The sequence below is a fragment of the Homo sapiens genome, chromosome 8, assembly GCF_000001405.40.
Source record: "Homo sapiens chromosome 8, GRCh38.p14 Primary Assembly".
Lineage (NCBI taxonomy): Eukaryota > Metazoa > Chordata > Mammalia > Primates > Hominidae > Homo > Homo sapiens.
Window position 1 is genome coordinate 53,072,468 of NC_000008.11, and position 17,638 is coordinate 53,090,105.

The window sequence follows — 17,638 nt, forward strand, 5'->3', positions numbered from 1 at the left end:
CCACTGTTGTGAGGTTGTCCCACGAGTCTGAGTAAGGACTCCAAGAGCTATCCCTGCTCTCTCTGTGATGTATAAAGAGAAGTTTTGTCCTATCAGAAGGCTTAAACCTGGAGCTTGTACTGGGGCATGCTTTAAGGTTTTGAAGGCTGTTTCCACCTCTGGTTCCCATTCTACTAGATGAGTATTTGCCCTCTAGGTTTCCTTGATTAGAGTATAGAGGGGCCTGGATATCTCGCTGTATTCGGGGATCCATAGTCGGCAAAAGCCAGTAATTCCAAGGAACCCCCTGAGCTGTTTTAATGTCTTAGGGCGAGGATAAGCCAGTATAGGCTGTATTCATTCCTTGCTGATGGCCCTGGTCCCTCTGGCTAAGATTAGGCCTAGATATTTGACCTGCTGTAGGCAAAGCTGAGCCTTTGACCTAGACACCTTGTACCCTTGATTAGCTGGAAAGTTCAAGAGATCTAGAGTAGCCTGCTGGCATGAGGTGTCCAAATTGGTAGCCAAAAGTAAATCATCCACATACTGAAGGATCAGAGTGCCTGGACTTGAGAAGTGGCCTAGGTCTTGGGCCAGTGCCTGACCAAACAGGTGAGGGCTATCCGTAAACCCTTGGGGCAAGACTGTCCACATAAGTTGGGAAATGTGGTCTGTGGGATCCTCAAAGGCAAAGAGAAACTAGGAGTCAGAGTGCAGGGGAAAACAGAAGACATCTTTGAGGTCCAGAACACTGAACCATTCTGCTTCCTTTGGTATTTGAGAGAGCAGGGTATAGGGGTTGGGTACAACTGGATATAGAGGAATTATTGACTCATTAATGAGTCTAAGATCTTACACTAGTTTCCAGTGACCATTCGATTTTTGTACTCCAAGAATTGGAGTGTTGTGGGGACTGCTGCATTTCCTTACTAAGCCTTGAGCTTTTAAATGTTTAACAATATCCTGTAATCCTTTATGAGGTTCAGCCTTAAGGGATATTGCCTTTGATAAGGAAAACTGGTGGGATCTTTTAACCTGATTTGGACTGGGTGGGCATTTTTTGCCCTTCCAAATTGTCCTTCCAATGCCCAGACTTCACGGTTGATTCCCTCCTCAAGTAAGGGACAACAATTGGCTAACTTGTTCCCCATATTCACGTAGATAATAGCTCCAGCCTTGGATAATATATCCCTCCCTAATAAGGGTGTCGGACTTTCAGGCATAACAAGAAAGGCATGTGAAAAGAGCAAAGTCTCCCAGTTACAACTGAGAAGGTGTGAGGAATACCTGGTTACAGGAATCTGGGATTCCTCAGATGGTAACGGACCTTGAGGACAGCTGTCCAGGACAGGAGATTAACACTGAGAAGGCTGTGCCAGTGTCCAGGAGGAGGTCAATTTCTTGGCCTTCAATGGTTAAACGTACCCGGGGCTCAGTGAGGGTGATGACATGAACTGGCGCTTGCCCTGGGCACCCTCAGTCCTGTTGTTGGATCATCTGGTTGGGGACTTCTCACCCAGAGAACCTTCATCCTCTGGGGCAGTGCACCTTCCAGTGATTGCCTTGGCACAGTGGATGTGGACGAGGGGGCAGCTTATTTCTCATTGGACAATCTTTTTTAAAGTGTCCTAGTAAACCACACTGATAACAATCCCTACTGGGTGATTGGCCTGCTCCATTTTCTGTCCTCTCTGAACCACCAATATTTGTTTGTCTAAGGGCCATGACTAAGGCTGTGGCCTTTCTCTGATCTTGCTTTTCCTTTTGGGCCTATTCCTCTTGGTCCCTATTATAGAACACTGAGGTTGCCAGGTTTAATAATGCCTCCAAATTTTGTTCAGGGCCCAGGGCTTGCTTTTGGAGGTTTCTCCTGATATTTGTGGTTGATTGGGTCATAAACCTATGTTTTAGAATCAGTTGACCTTTGAGTGATTCAGATGACAGGGGAGTGTATTTTCTTAAGGCCTCCCATAGCCACTCAAGGAAGGCAGAAGGATTTTCTTCCTTTCCCTGAGTTACAGTGGACATCACTGAATAATTCATGGGCTTTTTTCTAATTTTCCTCCGTCCTTCTAGAACACAGGTCAACAGATGTTTATGACTCCAGTCCCCATGATCTGAGTTGAGGTCCCAGTGGGGATCCATACTGGGGATGGCTTGTTGACCAGTATGGAATTTGTCCCTTTCTTCAGCTGTCATTCTATCATTTACTTGACTAAGATACCAGGTATCTCTAAACTTTTGGGCAGCAGCTAAAGCCACATTCTTTTCATTAAGGGCCACGGTTTGATCTAACAGTAGCATGACATCACTCCAAGTGAGGTTGAAGGTTTGCCCTAGACCCTGTAAGACATCTATGTTCCTATCAGGATTATCTGAAAACTTCCCCAGGTCTGCCTTGATCTGCTTTAAATCAGAGAGGAAGAAGGGGACATGTACCTGGGGTGGGCCAAATTTCCTTCCCCCTACAGCTTGAAGGGGACATAACCAATAGCCTGGGGATTCTTGTGGTCCTTTGGAGAGATTTGTTTGCTTATTTCCTTCTGGGCAGGAGAGATTAAAGGAGGATTATCATTAATAGGAAGGGGAGCTATAAGGAGGCTAGGATATGGGGGTAAGCTGAGAGGTCCTCCTGTGGGATGTAAATTGCAAGCTTTGCATAGTTGTGTATTCTCCTTCAATGAAAAGAAAGCTTAGACATAAGGTATTTCACTCCATTTGCCTTCCCTCTTACAGAAAAGGTCAAGTTTCAAAATAGTGTAGTAATTTATACTTCCCTCAGGTGGCCATTTTTCCCCATCAGAGAGAGAATATTGGGGCCAGCCTGTAGTGCAGAAAAAAATGAGCCACCTCTTTTTCAGGGTTTGTGGGTCAAATTGGTCCCAATGGCTTAGGATGCATTTCAAGGGTGAGCCTGTTGATGCCTGAGTGTTTCCCATCTGAGAGACAAAACCGCCCGTGGTTTTGGTTTGTTTTGTTTCTCCCCCTGCCCAAGAACCATCAACAGTCGCTGGACCCTGCTGATTGGAATAGTTGCACTCATCAATGCAGCAGCAGAAACAACCCATGTCCAAGAACCTGCAATGGTCCCTGGATCCAGCTGATTGGAATAGTTGTGCCCATCGACACAGCAGCAGAAACACTAGTTTTCCTCCCAGACCACAAGGAGGACCAAGGAAGGTCGGATTTAGTGGCCCTTACCAATGCATTCTTGAAAACATGCACCCTTGCCTGTCCTCCTAGACCACAAGGAGGACCAAGAAAAATCAGATTTAGTGGCCCTTACCAACACATTCTTGAAAACCTGGTAGAGTCCTAGGCATTCTCCTGTTAGTACTGGGACCTTACCTGTGTCCTACAAAGATGTTATGCCCCAAAAATGAAGTGGAGGGCCATACCCTGAGGGAGGGAAGGGATCTCCAGAGTTGGAAGAGTGATGTCTGTTTTCCCCACTTATGTGAATAGGAAGGATACAATTTCTGAGGCTCCCCATATCCTAGCTTCAGGAATAACTTTTGTTAGGCCTGCTAGTCTGAGGAGGGATCCTAAAATTCCAAATAGTCCCCCCTACAATGGGGCTTTGGGCAAAAATTATGTCTTTCTGATTGTTGAGACCAGGTGTCTAAAGAAGGTAACAGAGTCCTGGTGTTTATACTAGAAATCATTCTTATAGGAGAAACTAGAAAAGCACCAGAGACAGGGAGCGATTTTTAGAAGTGGGACTAGCCTCGGAGAAGAGAGGTGAGAGGAAGTTTGTCTGGAAGGCATCAGGACCCGGGGGCAAGGGTCAGGATAGATAGGATAGATGGGCAAGTCTAGCTTGGACGACATGCCTTTGAGAGTTCTGCTCATGGCTGCAGAGTCAACCAACTTGTTGTCAGGACCCTGAACCTGAATGGCTTTCCTCTATCAACCCTCAAGCTCAGCCCAGAAGTACAGGAAAAGTGGAAGCTGGTTCCAGGCAAATCAACTTGCCCAACTCTGAAGAGTCAGGGGTTGTTAGAGAGCCCTTTCCCAGAAAGCCTGACACCTATGTCTTTAGTCTGGCAGTCTCTCTAGTTGTTTTTAACTGGCCAACAGGTGCCCAGTATTTAGCCCCTGAATTCTAAGGAAAAATAGGACAGAATAGCAAGCAAAAGGGGTCCAATGGTACTCACTGCTTGCCGATGGGCACCAGTCTCACCACTTGGCGAAAGGCGATTGTCTCACCACTTGGCGATAGTCTCACTGCTTGGTGATAGGTGATAGCCCCTTCATGGTCTCCAAAATGTGTCCAGAATTGGTGGATTCTTAGTCTTACTGACTTCAAGAAAGAAGCCGCAGACCCTCACAGTGAGTGTTACAGTTCTTAAAGCTGGTGTGTCCAGAGTTTGTTCCTTCTGATGTTCGGATGTGTTCAGAGTTTCTTCCTTCTGGTGGGTTCGTGGTCTTGCTGGCTTCAGGGGTGAAGCTGCAGACCTTCACGGTGAGCATTACAGCTCTTAAGGCAGTGCATCTGGAGTTGTTCGTTCCTCCCATCCAGAGTTGTTCATTCCTTCTGGTGGGTTTGTTGTCTTGCTGGCCTCAGAATTGAAGCTGCAGACCTTCGCAGTGAGTGTTAACAGCTCATAAAGGCAGTGCAGACCCAAAGAGTGAGCAGCAGCAAGATTTATTGCAAAGAGCAAAAGAACAAATCTTCCATAGTGTGGAAGGGGACCTGAGTGGGTTGCCGCTGCTGGCTCAGGAAGCCCACTTTTATTCCCTTATCTGACCCCACCCACATCCTGCTGATTGGCCCATTCTACAGGGACCTGATAGGTCTGTTTTACAGAAAGCTGATTGGTCTGTTTTGACAGGGTGCTGATTAGTGTGTTTACAATCCCTGAGCTAGACACCGAGTGCTGGTTGGTGTATTTACAATCCTGTAGCTAGACGTAAAATTTCTCCAAGTCCCCACTAGATTAGCTAGACACAGAGCACTGATTGGTGCATTTACAAACCTTGAGCTAGACACGGATTGCTGATTGGTGCATTTACAAACCTTGAGCTAGACACAGAGTGCTGATTGGTGCATATACAATCCTCCAGCTAGACACAAAAGTTCTCCAAGTCCCCACCTGACTCAGGAGCCCAGCTGGCTTTGCCTAATGGATCCCATGCCGGGGCCACGGGTGGAGCTGCCCACCAGTCCCGTGACGCACACCTGAACTCCTCAGCCCTTGGGCAGTTGATGGGACTGTGTGCCACAGAGCAGGGAGCAGTGCCCACTGGGGAGGCTTGGGCTGTGCAGGAGCCCACCCCGGGGGGGCTTGGGCATGGTGGGCTGCAGGTCCTGAGCCCTGCCCCTCAGGAAGGCAGCTGAGGCCCAGTGGGAATTCAAGCGTGGCAAGGGTGGGTCGGCAGTGCTGGGGCAACTGGCGCCCCCTATGCAGCTGCTGGTCCAGGCACTAAGCCCCTCACTGCCTGGGGCCGGGGGTGCCAGCCAGCTGCTCCAAGTGTGGGGCCCGCCAAGCCCGCGCCCACCTGGAACTCACGCTTGCCAGCAAGTGCCATGTGCAGTCCTGGTTCCCATCTGCACTTCTCCCTCCGCACCTCCCCACAAGCAGAGGGAGCTGGCTCCAGCCTCGACCAGCCCAGAGAGGGGCTCCCATGGTGCAGCAGTGGGCTGAAGGGCTCCTCAAGCATGGCCAGAGTGGATGCCAAGGCCAAGGAGCTGCCAGGAGCAGGAAGGGGCTGCTAGCACGTTGTCACCTCTCACCACACCACACCAGCCCATCACCTACCTCTTCTCTTGCCTTCCCTGCTTCCCCCTGGGGCTCACTCCTACTTTTCCGGATTTACACAACCTAATTACAAATGAGCACATGAATTTTTGCCTCAAGCTTTGTTTTTAAAAAATCTGAGTTCAGACAACAATAGGAGTGTGGATAAATGTAAAGTGAAAGTTAGGAAGTGACTAAGAAAGGGATTTTTAAGTTAGCATGATGAGGAAGTATGCATACTGTGAACATTGTCAGAATCAAGATGGTGTCGCTAATGTTAAAAACAAACTAACAAACAACAAAAAACCTGTCAAAGAGAGCTGGGGGAGACCAGGAGAAAATGCTTGCATATCTGATAACAAAACTGTCAGAAAAGACTCTGCAACATTACGCCTCAGGCAAAGGTCATCGGAATACAAGCTTCTGCAAAAACATACTTCTGCAAGAACATCTGCCCAGCAACTGACTGTCCAACCTTGAACTGGCATTATCCTCATTGCTGATATTCGTAGCCAAGGATAATCATCTCAAAACAATTATGTAATCTTTTTCATTTTTTCTTTAAAAGCCTTTGTCTTCCTTTTTCTTTAAAAGCCTATATGCATATATGCCTATATTTTTTCTTTAAAAGCCTATATGCATAATCCTCCTTGAATATGCATATAGTTTACTATGGCACATGTATTCCCATGGCAATGTTCTATTCCCAAATAAATGTCTTTTTCTTTTAGAGAGCTTCCTCTGTCATTTAGGTTGACAATATTGACACTAAATTGGATAAAAAAAATTTATGTAGGAAAACAGCCAGTTGCATGTCAAGAATAATACCATCTTGAAGTAAAACTGCCATAATGACTAATGTTTGACTCCTGCATACCAAGGTGTTCCTGCAGCAAGGTCAAGAAACAGGCCGGCTGCAGTGGCTTATGGCTGTAATCCCAGCATTATGGGAGGCCGAGGTGGGTGGATCACTTGAAGTCAGGAGTTGATTCCAGGTCTCTGTAGGACCTTTCAGGACTTCCTAGTGTGTTCTCTGTAGAATTGCTCTGATTACATCAACTTAATTACATTACTTTAGACACAGCTCTGTAAAGGAAAACCTGGCTTCTTGACTGGCTGATTGGGTTTTTTCTTCATACAGCTTCACTACAAGTCACCTGCACAGTGACTAAAAACAGCCTTTCAGAGAGTCACACCATCTAATTCACTCAGTAATGTAGAAATTGTGTCCAAGAAGTCAGTCAACTTTTTTTTACTTTTATAACCTCATTTGCATAAAACACGAGAGCATTTTACAGTGATCTTGTTTCTGATATGCCTTTGTTGTACAACAATAATTCTGATAGAGGTTTTCATGGTTTGTTGGTTTTCAAAAATTATTTTTATTATTGTTTACACAGCTGATATGTTTTGGCTTTGTGTCCCCACCCAAATCCCATCTTGTAGCTCCTATAATTTCCACATGCTGTGGGAGGGACCTGGTGGGAGATGATTGAATCATGGGGGTGGGTCTTTCCCATACTGATCTCATGACAGTGAATGTGTCTCATGAGAGCTGATGGTTTTAAAAATAAAAGTTTCCCTGCACAAGCTCTCCCTTTTCCTGCTGCCATCCACATAAGATGTGACTTGCCTTCTGCCATGATTGTGAGGCCTCCACAGCCATGTGGAACTGCAAGTCCAATAAGCATTTTTTTTTTTTGTAAATTGCCCAGTCTTTGGTATGTCTTTATCAGCAGCATGAAAATAGGCTAATACAGTAAATTGGTACCAGTAGAGTGGGGTGCTGCTAAAAAGATACCCAAAAATGTGGAAGCAGCTTTGGAACTGGGTTAACAGGCAGGGATTGCAACAATCTGTAGGGCTCAGAAGGAAACAGGAAAATGTGGGACAATTTGTAGCTCCCTAGAGACTTGTTGAATGGCTTTGACCTAAAGCCTGATAGCAATATGTGCAATAATGTCCAGGCTGAAGTGGTCTCAGATGGAAATAAGGGACTTGTTGGGAATTGGAGCAAAGGTGTATCTTGTTATGTTTTAGCAAAGAAACTGGCTATTGGTGGCATTTTGCCCCTGCCCTAGAGATCTGTGGAATTTTGAACTTGAGAGAGATGTTTAGGGTATCTGGCAGAAGAAATTTCTAAGCAGTAAAGCATTCAAGAAGTGACTCAGGTGCTGTTAAAGGCATTCAGTTTTATAAGGGAAGCAGAAAATAAAAGTTCTGAAAATTTGCAGCCTGACAATGTGATAGAAAAGGAAATCTCATTTTCTTTTTTTTATTTTTTTATTTTATTATTATTATACTTTAAGTTTTAGGGTACATGTGCACAATGTGCAGGTTAGTTACATATGTATACATGTGCCATGCTGGTGTGCTGCACCCATTAACTCGTCATTTAGCATTAGCTATATCTCCTAAAGCTATCCCTCCCCCCTCCCCCCACCCCACAACATTCCCCAGAGTGTGATGTTCCCCTTCCTGTGTCCATGTGTTCTCATTGTTCAATTCCCACCTATGAGTGAGAATATACGGTGTTTGGTTTTTTGTTCTTGCGATAGTTTACTGAGAATGATGATTTCCAATTTCATCCATGTCCCTACAAAGGACATGAACTCATCATTTTTTATGGCTGCATAGTATTCCATGGCGTATATGTGCCACATTTTCTTAATCCAGTCTATCATTGGTACTGGTACCAAAACAGAGATATAGATTAATGGAACAGAACAGAGCCGTCAGAAATAATGCTGCATATCTACAACTATCTGATCTTTGACAAACCTGACAAAAACAAGCAATGGGGAAAGGATTCCCTATTTAATAAATGGTGCTGGGAAAACTGGCTAGCCATACGTAGAAAGCTGAAAGTGGATCCCTTCCTTACACCTTATACAAAAATTAATTCAAGATGGATTAAAGACCTAAATGTTAGACCTAAAACCATAAAAACCCTAGAAGAAAACCTAGGCATTACCATTCAGGACATAGGCATGGGCAAGGACTTCATGTCTAAAACACCAAAAGCAATAGCAACAAAAGCCAAAATTGACAAATGGGATCTAATTAAACTAAAGAGCTTCTGCACAGCAAAAGAAACTATCGTCAGAGTGAACAGGCAACCTACAAAAATGGGAGAAAATTTTCGCAACCTACTCATCTGACAAAGGGCTAATATCCAGAATCTACAATGAACTCAAACAAATTTACAAGAAAAAAACAAACAACCCCATCAAAAAGTGGGTGAAGGATATGAACAGACACTTCTCAAAAGAAGACATTTATGCAGCCAAAAAACACATGAAAAAATGCTCACCATCACTGGCCATCAGAGAAATGCAAATCAAAACCACAATGAGATGCCATCTCACACCAGTTAGAATGGCGATCATTAAAAAGTCAGGAAACAACAGGTGCTGGAGAGGATGTGGAGAAATAGGAACACTTTTACACTGTTGCTGGGACTGTAAACTAGTTCAACCATTGTGGAAGTCAGTGTGGTGATTCCTCAGGGATGTAGAACTAGAAATACCATTTGACCCAGCCATCCCATTACTGGGTATATACCCAAAGGACTATAAATCATGCTGCTATAAACACACATGCACCTGTATGTTTATTGTGGCACTATTCACAATAGCAAAGACTTGGAACCAACCCAAATGTCCAACAATGATAGACTGGATTAAGAAAATCCCATTTTCTGAGGAGAAATTCAAGATGGCTGTAGAAATTTGTATAAGTAACAAGGAGCTGAATGTCAATCCCCAAGACAATGGGGGGAATATCTCCAGGGCATGTCAGAGGTCTTCAGAGTGGTTCCCCCATCACAGGCCTGGAGGTCTAGGAGGAAAAAGTGGTTTCGTGGGCTGGACCCAGAGTCACCGTGCTGTGTGCTGTGTAGGGACTTGGTGCCCTGCATCCCATCCACTCCAGCCATGGCTGAAAGGGGCCAATGTAGAGCTCAGACTGTGGCTTCAGAGGGTGCAAGCCTCAAGTCTTGGCAGCTTCCACATGGTGTTGAGACTGCGAGTGCACAGAAGTCAATAATTGAGGTTTAGGAACCTCTGCCTAGATTTCAGATGTATGGAAATACCCAGATGCCCAGGCAGAATTTTGCTGTAGGGGCAGGGTCCTCATTGGAAAACCTCTGCTAGAGCAGTGCAGAAAGGGTCCAGAGCCCCCACACAGAATCTCTACTGGGGCACCACCTAGTGGAGCTGTGAGAAGATGGCCACCGTCCTCCAGACCCTAGAATGATAGATCCACCGACAGCTTGCACTGTGCACCTGGAAAAGCCACAGAGGCTCACTGCCAGCCCATGAAAGCAGCCAGGAAGGAGGCTGTACACTGCAAAGCCATAGGGATGGAGTTTCCCAAGACCATGGGAACCCACCTCTCACATCATAGTGACCTGGATGTGAGACATGGAGTCAAAGGTGATCATTGTGGAACTTTAAGATTTGACTGCCATGCTGGATTTCAAACTTGCATAGGGCCTGTAGCTTCTTCATTTTGGCCATTTTCTTTTTTCATTTGGAAAGGCTGTATTTACCCAATGCTTGTACCCCCATCATATCTAGGAAGTAACTAATTGCTTTTGATTTTACTGGCTTGCAGGTGAAAGGTGCTTGCCTTGTCTTGGATGAGACTTTTGACTGTGGACTTTTGAGTTAATGCTGAAATGAGTTGAGACTTTGGGGGACTGTTGGGAAGGCATGATTAGCTTTGAAATGTGAAGATATGAGATTTGGGAGGGGCCGAGGGAAAATGATATGGTTTGGCTCTGTGTCCCCACCCATATCTCATCTTGTAGCTCCCACAATTCCCATGTGTTGTGGGAAGGACCTGGTGGGAGATGATTGAATCACAGGGGCGGGTCTTTCCCATGTTGTTCTCATGATAGTGAATGGGTCTCATAAGATCTGATGGTTTTAAAAATGGGAGTTTCCCAGCAGAAGGTCTCCCTTTGCCTGCTGCCATCCATGTAAGATGTGACTTGCTCCTCCTTGCCTTCTGCCATGATTGTGAGGCCTTCCCAGCCATGTGGAATTGTAAGTCCAATAAACCTCCTTCTTTTGTAAATTTCCCAGTCTTGAGTAAGTCTTTATCAGCTGTGTGAAAATGGACTGATACAATGACTCATCATCATTTTAGAAAATCACATTATTGTTCAGCTTAGAGGGTCCAAATCACATTGACAATCTGAGTTGTAGGAACTGGCTTGTCCATCCCTTTGATCAGGCACACCAGAATCTGGAAGACTTTATAAGTGCCATGCTGTGCACTTGGCACTCAAAGTTAGTCTAGGCCAAGGAGAAAACAGAAATAGGTCTGCTGGCTGCTATATTAGTGACAGAAGACCAGCCTTTCACTGGAAAATGGACGTGCAAAATCAAAGTCTTTAACTGGAGAACATAGGGAGTAAAACACACTTCCAAAGTCACCTTCTAGAGGGTGGCCAGATCCAGAGGCCTGACAGCAGGATTCTAGACTATTGGGTGAAAGACAAGCTTCAAAACTGGCTGCTGACTGATGGCATTGAACGATCAGTATTCACCTTTTTAATCTTGCATGCTTTGTATTTTTCATGACTTTTAGAAAAAAGTAAAAATTATCGTGAGTGCTCACCACCCCATAGAAACTCTTTCCAGTATTTCTACCACTGTTCTCTATAGGGAATAAATAATCAGGATAAAAAACTCTAAGCTAAGCTACTAAAACTGCTCTGGCTTCTTTGAGTCGGTATGTAGACCACTTGGGGTTCCTAACATGTTGCGTTTTCTACTCCACTTTTTGTTTATCTTTGCAATTAGACATTAATCAAAAAAATATGGGGCAGAGACACAGAAAAATAAAAGAAGAAAGCCAAGTTTTTGAGTATCAAAAGTAGTTTGAATGAAAAGTAGTTTTGTTTTATTTTATAATTTTACTTGCACAATTAATTTTTATTTTTCAGGGTTGAGCTTTTCAAAGAGGTGAACGTGAATGTATTTATATTCCACATATCTGAAAATCACACACACAAAGACTCTTGGAAAAGCCGACCACTTTCTTCTGGCAATGACACGGTGTCCCAGAAAGGATCCAGGTGGAAGTGGGGCCCATGAGGATGTCAATGGGCAGCCCTCCAATCTCAATGTCACAGGGTTCCAGTGGAGATGAAAAAGGCTCCTGACTCATTGAGGATCTGACATCAAATTGGATTACTATAAGGCAATCCTATTTAAAAGAAAACCCAATTTGTATAAAGCTTTTCTCACAGGTTCTAGCCTCTCATTTGTTTAGAAAATGCAAAATCAAATTAGAAGATTCTGCCTTGTATCTTATTATTTGAATCAACATTGATAATTGCTTTATTTTCTTAAAGGAAATGATGGTAGGTTTGTTTATAGAAGAGAATAGATTGGAGGTCTCTAAGGGTCCTTCACAGGGCCCTGGGGAGACCACAAGAAAGAATTACACTGGTGGCCATGCAGGATCATGGTCATTTAAGAACATCTCAGTAGGAAGGGGGTGTAGCACGGAGAGTAATGAAGAATCTGGAAATGTGAAGTGGCTGTACTTTAGGTAGGGGTGAAATAGACTTGAATTAGGTAAACATTCATTTAGTACTTTGTTTAAACCAATATTTATAGACCACATTTTCACTGCTTGGAACTGTGCCAGAAGTTGGTATTGTAACTTGTATGACACCATTCCTATCCTTGTCCATTTTACAGTCTAATGGGACGGGGTTGAGGCAACAATAAGCAAACAATCATTGCACTGGAGGGTGGTAAGTGTTCAGACAAAATTAGGTTCAAAGCATAAGGGGGCACAAGAACTGGAATATTCAAAAAAGAAGAAAACATAGTGATTGATGTTGGTAGTATTTGAGGTGGGGCAATCTCAGATAAGGATTGTGAAAAATTTATCACGGGATTCTTTCTTTGTTGTTTTTTTTTCATCAAGGGACAATTTCCCTTCTTTCTGTGCTTTTCCCCGTAGAGATGTTTAGACTCTGCTGCTTGGATCCAACCCATAGGAAAGCAATCTTAAAAACTCATAAGGTTTGATGCTTCAGTGTCTTACTGTTCTCATAAGTATTTGCTTCATATACTTCAACCAAAACAACATATTGCAGCAGATAGAATGCAGAGTAATAAGCCAGGTGTTAAAGGGATTTGCACAAATGTGAAACTATGCTACTCTTCCCACTGTTTTGTTTTATTTTGGAGAACAGATTTTTAAAAATATATGATTTATGTTCTCATGCAGTGGATTTATAATTGTTATTTTTAAACAAATTAACAAATGTCTTCAGAAGCCTCAGTTTCTTTTTCTAATGTGGTAAATATAGGTAAATGTAACCCACATAAGCAAAATCTCTTAGGAATCTTCAATATTTTTTAATAGTGTAAAGAGGTCTTGAGACAAAAAGTTTGAGAACCACTGTTTTTAAAACAGCAGGATTTGAATTTTTTCTAACCATCTAATAGGAATGTGGCCTTGGGCCAATTATTTAACATCCCAGAATCTCAGTTTGCTCATCTGTAACTTGGGCTTTTGAACATAGCTATCTCACAGCCTCGTTGTGAAGATTAAAAGCAATATCTTTGTAAATTATGCAGATAATGTTTAGTATATATTATCTTCAGGAAGAATCCATACCTGGGAAGCATGAGCCTTCTGGTCACAAGTTTCTTCTGTGAAAAGTGTCATTCTCCACAGTTTTGTCATATCCTCATGGAGAAATCCTTAGAACAATCCCATTCATTTTGATCTCTGTGCAGGCTCATTTAGCTACTTTCAGATTATGATTTCAGTCTCCCAGCTATTCAAGGGAAGAAGGTTTCTTGGACAGTGGAGAAGAGCAAATATATATAACAGTTGTAAATTAATAGCAGTAGTTCTTATTTCTACATCAATCTTTTATGAATTTATGTGCCTTGAAATAAAACCTGCAACTGAGCTGTACTCTCTGGCAGAGCCTGTGCTAAACCTATGGACATAAGCCCCAGAGTCCCAAAGCATTTTAATAGTGATCAAATTGAGTCTAGGAGCTGGAAATTTAGGCAAAAAAGTAGCAACAAAAAATATGGTGTGCTTCCAGCACATCCAAAGTACTGCTACCACATGAAAAAGGCCCCTTCCCTCCCTCTAGGGTGTTTTTAGCTATTACTTTTAATGCCAAAAACCACAACTAGTTTTGCAGCAGCCTAATACTTCTCTCTACCTATTACTTGTGAGTATGTTGGACACTTCTAGAAACATCCTACTATAAACACATGCTATTGCTATTAATGTTTCAAAAATTCTTTTTATTCAGTTAACTTTCTCTTGTAAAGTAGAATTATACCCATAAATTTTAAAATTTTAAAGTATACTACATTATTTGCAACAGATGTTATGCATACATAGTACTTTCTAGAAAAGTATTACTGCCAGTTGAAAAATATTTATTCCTCAAAACAACAAATTAGAAATCATGGACTATCAAACCACCACCTCATACCTTCTTTTTATGATAGTTAAGAAATTAGGATTTTATGAAGCATCAACTTTTCCATCCTGTGCTGGAGTTACTGTCCTTTGGGGACTAAATTTATGTGGAAAAAGCAAGCCAAGAATTTTGCCTTAGGATTTTTAATGTAATCACCAAGGCTGTTCTATTTTTCCCAAATAGTGCTCAATGTAGCAACATAACCCTTTAGTATCAAATAAAGGGAGAGAATTAGTCCAATAAAAATTTTAGAATGATTCCTTGAGTGAGTATATTCAAGAGTTGAATAATTTACTTTAAAAACTCCAGGAAATTTTCTTCTTTTATATAAACCATTGACGTTCCAAGCTTGCCTGCAATGTATTCCTCACATTTCTATCCCATATGGAAACACTAGAAATTGAATCATTTATACCTATCCTCTAAAAAATAATTTTTTTTTACCCAATATTTTTGGAGATTTATCCAAGTTATATTTGTAGTTTGTTTTTATTTTTCATTTAAATTTTGGATTAGTATTTCAGTGAATGAATATATCACATGTTGTCTGTTCATTCTGTTCATGGACATTCAGGTCGGTTTGAATGTTACAAATAATGCTATGGTGCACCCTTTTGTACCTGTCTCCTTAACACATGTGCTAGCGTTTCTCTTAAACATGAGGCCAGAATTCGAATATGTGGGTCTTAGGACATATACACACCCCTGGAACATACTTATGATCTCTCCTAAGTATTCCCTAAGAGTTCCCACTCTTAAGATTCTCCTAAGAGTTCCCACTTCTTCTTTACATGCTCCTCCATGTTTGATGTTAAAAATATATTATTAATAAAATGTATGTGAATTGTTATTTTCATTGAGGTTCTCCTTCTTTCTTTCTTCCTTTTTTTTTTTTTTTTTGAGATGGAGTTTCACTCTTATTGCTCAGGTTGGAGTGCAATGGTGCAATCTCAGCTCCCTGCAACCTCCGCCTCCTGGGTTCAAGTGAATCTCCTGCCTTGGCCTCCCAAGTAACTGGGATTACAGGCACCCGCCACCACACCCTGCTAATTTCTTGTATTTAGTAGAGACGGTGTTTCACCATGTTGGTCAGGCTGGTCTCAAACTCCTGACCTCAGGTGACCCATCCGCCTGGGCCTCCCAAAGTGCTGGGATTCCAGGCATGAGCCACTGCACCCCACCTTCATTGAGATTTAAGTTTATATTTCCCTAATAGTTAAGATGAATATTGTTTCCCATGTGTTTAATGGCTGAGTGTATTCTTTTTTTAAACTTTATTTTTACATTAATTTGCACAAGTTCTTCAGATACATGCAAGAACCATTGCATTTGTTGACAATATTTCTCTGTATGGGCTTGGTTTTTCACTCTCATTATAAAATCTTTTGTTGTACAGGAATTCAAAATGTTGATAATCTAATTCATTCATCTTTTTTTTATTTTTTGTTTTGTGGTGTATGTCTTGCTTAAGAAATCCTTCCCTAATCTAACTTCATAAATGTATACTCCATATTTTCTTCTAAAAGTTTTACTTTTCACATTTATAACTTTAACCTACTTTAGAATTATTTTATGTATGTATGGTACACTGACTTGCAATGCCTCCTCCAGCATATATCAAGTTTTCTAATACACGTGAGTCTTTCTGGTTCTATGGTTTGTAGCACTGATGTATTTGTGTATCCCTGCATAAATATTGTACTATCCCAACAGCTTTCACAACATTAGTATAATTTTGCTGTCTTGTAAGGCAGCCCTTTGCTGTAGTTATTGTTACTGTTGTTTTTCAATACTCTATTGACTTTTTTTGACCCTTTGATTGTCTATATTGTTTTCTAACCACTTGTTACAAAAATCACAAGAAATTCTGTTGATAGGTTAAGAAGTATCATATGGGATGTATACAATAATTTTGGAAAAACTGACATTTTTAAAATTTTATTTTAAGTTCAGAAGTACATGTGCAGATTTGTTAAAACTCATGCCACCCAGGTATTAAGTCTAGTACCCATTAGTTATTTTTCCTGATCCTCTCCCACCTCCCACCCTCCACCTTCCAGTAGGCCTCCATCACTCTTGTGCCCCTCTATGTGTCCATATGTTCTCATCATTTCGTTCAGCCTTATAAGTGTGAATATGTGGTATTTGGTTTTCTGTTCCTGCATTAGTTTGCTAAGGACAGTGGGCTCCAGCTTCATCCATGTTGCTGCAAAGGGCATCATCTTTTTCTTTTTATGGCTGCATAGTATTCCATGGTGTATATGTATCACATTTTCTTTATTGAGCCTATCATTGATTGGCATTTAGGTTAATTTTATGTCTTTGCTAATGTGAATAGTGCTGCTATGAACATACACATGCATGTGTCTTTATGGTAGAATAATTTCTATGTCTTTGGGTCTATACCCAGAAATGGGATTGCTGGGTCAAATGGTAGTTCTATTTTTATGTCTTTGAGACATCACAAAACTGTTTTACACAATGGTTGAACTAATTTACAGTCCCACCAACAGTGTATAAGCATTCCTTTTTCTCTGCAACCTCACCAGCATCTGTTATTTTTTGACTTTTTAATAGTAACCATTCTGACTAGTGTGAGATGGTATCTCATTGTGGTTTTGATTTGCATTTCTCTAATGATCAATGATGTTGAGCTTTTTTTTTTCATACACTTGTTGGCTACATGTATGTCTTCTTTTGAAAAGTGTCTGTTTTTGCCCACTTTTTAATGGGGTTGTTTGTTTTTTTCTTGTAAATGTGTTTAAGTTCCTTATAGATGTTCAATGTTAGACCTTTGTCAATGCATAGTTTGCAAAAATGTTCTTCCATTCTGTAGGTTGTCTGTTTACTGTGTTAATAGTTTCCTTTGCTGTGCAGAAGCTCTTTAGTTTAATTAGACCCCATTTGTCAATTTGTGCTTTTGTTACAATTGCTTTTGGCATCTTTGTCATGAAATCTTTGCCTGTTCCTATGTCTAGAATGATATTGCCTAGGTTGTCTTCCAGGGTTTTCATAGTTTTGGGTTTTACATTTAAGTATTTTATCCATCTTTAGTTGATTTTTGTATGTGGTGTAAGAAAGTGGTCCAGTTTAAATCTTCTGCATATGGCTAGCTAGTTATCCCAGGACCATTTATTGAATATGGTGTTGACTTTGTCAAAGATCGGATAACTGTGGGTGTGCAACCTTATTTCTGGGCTCTCTATTCTGCTCCATTGGTCTATGTGCCTGTTTTTGTACCAGCATTGTTTTGGTTACTGTAGCCTTGCAGTATAGTTTGACGTCAAGTAGTGTGATGCCTCTAGCTTTATTCTTTTTGCTTAGGCTTGCCTTGGCTATTTGGGCTCTTTTTTGGTTCCAGATGAATTTTATTTTATTTATTTTTTCTGTCAGGGTGATTTTTATTTTTTTATTTTTTTGCTGTGTTTAATTTTTT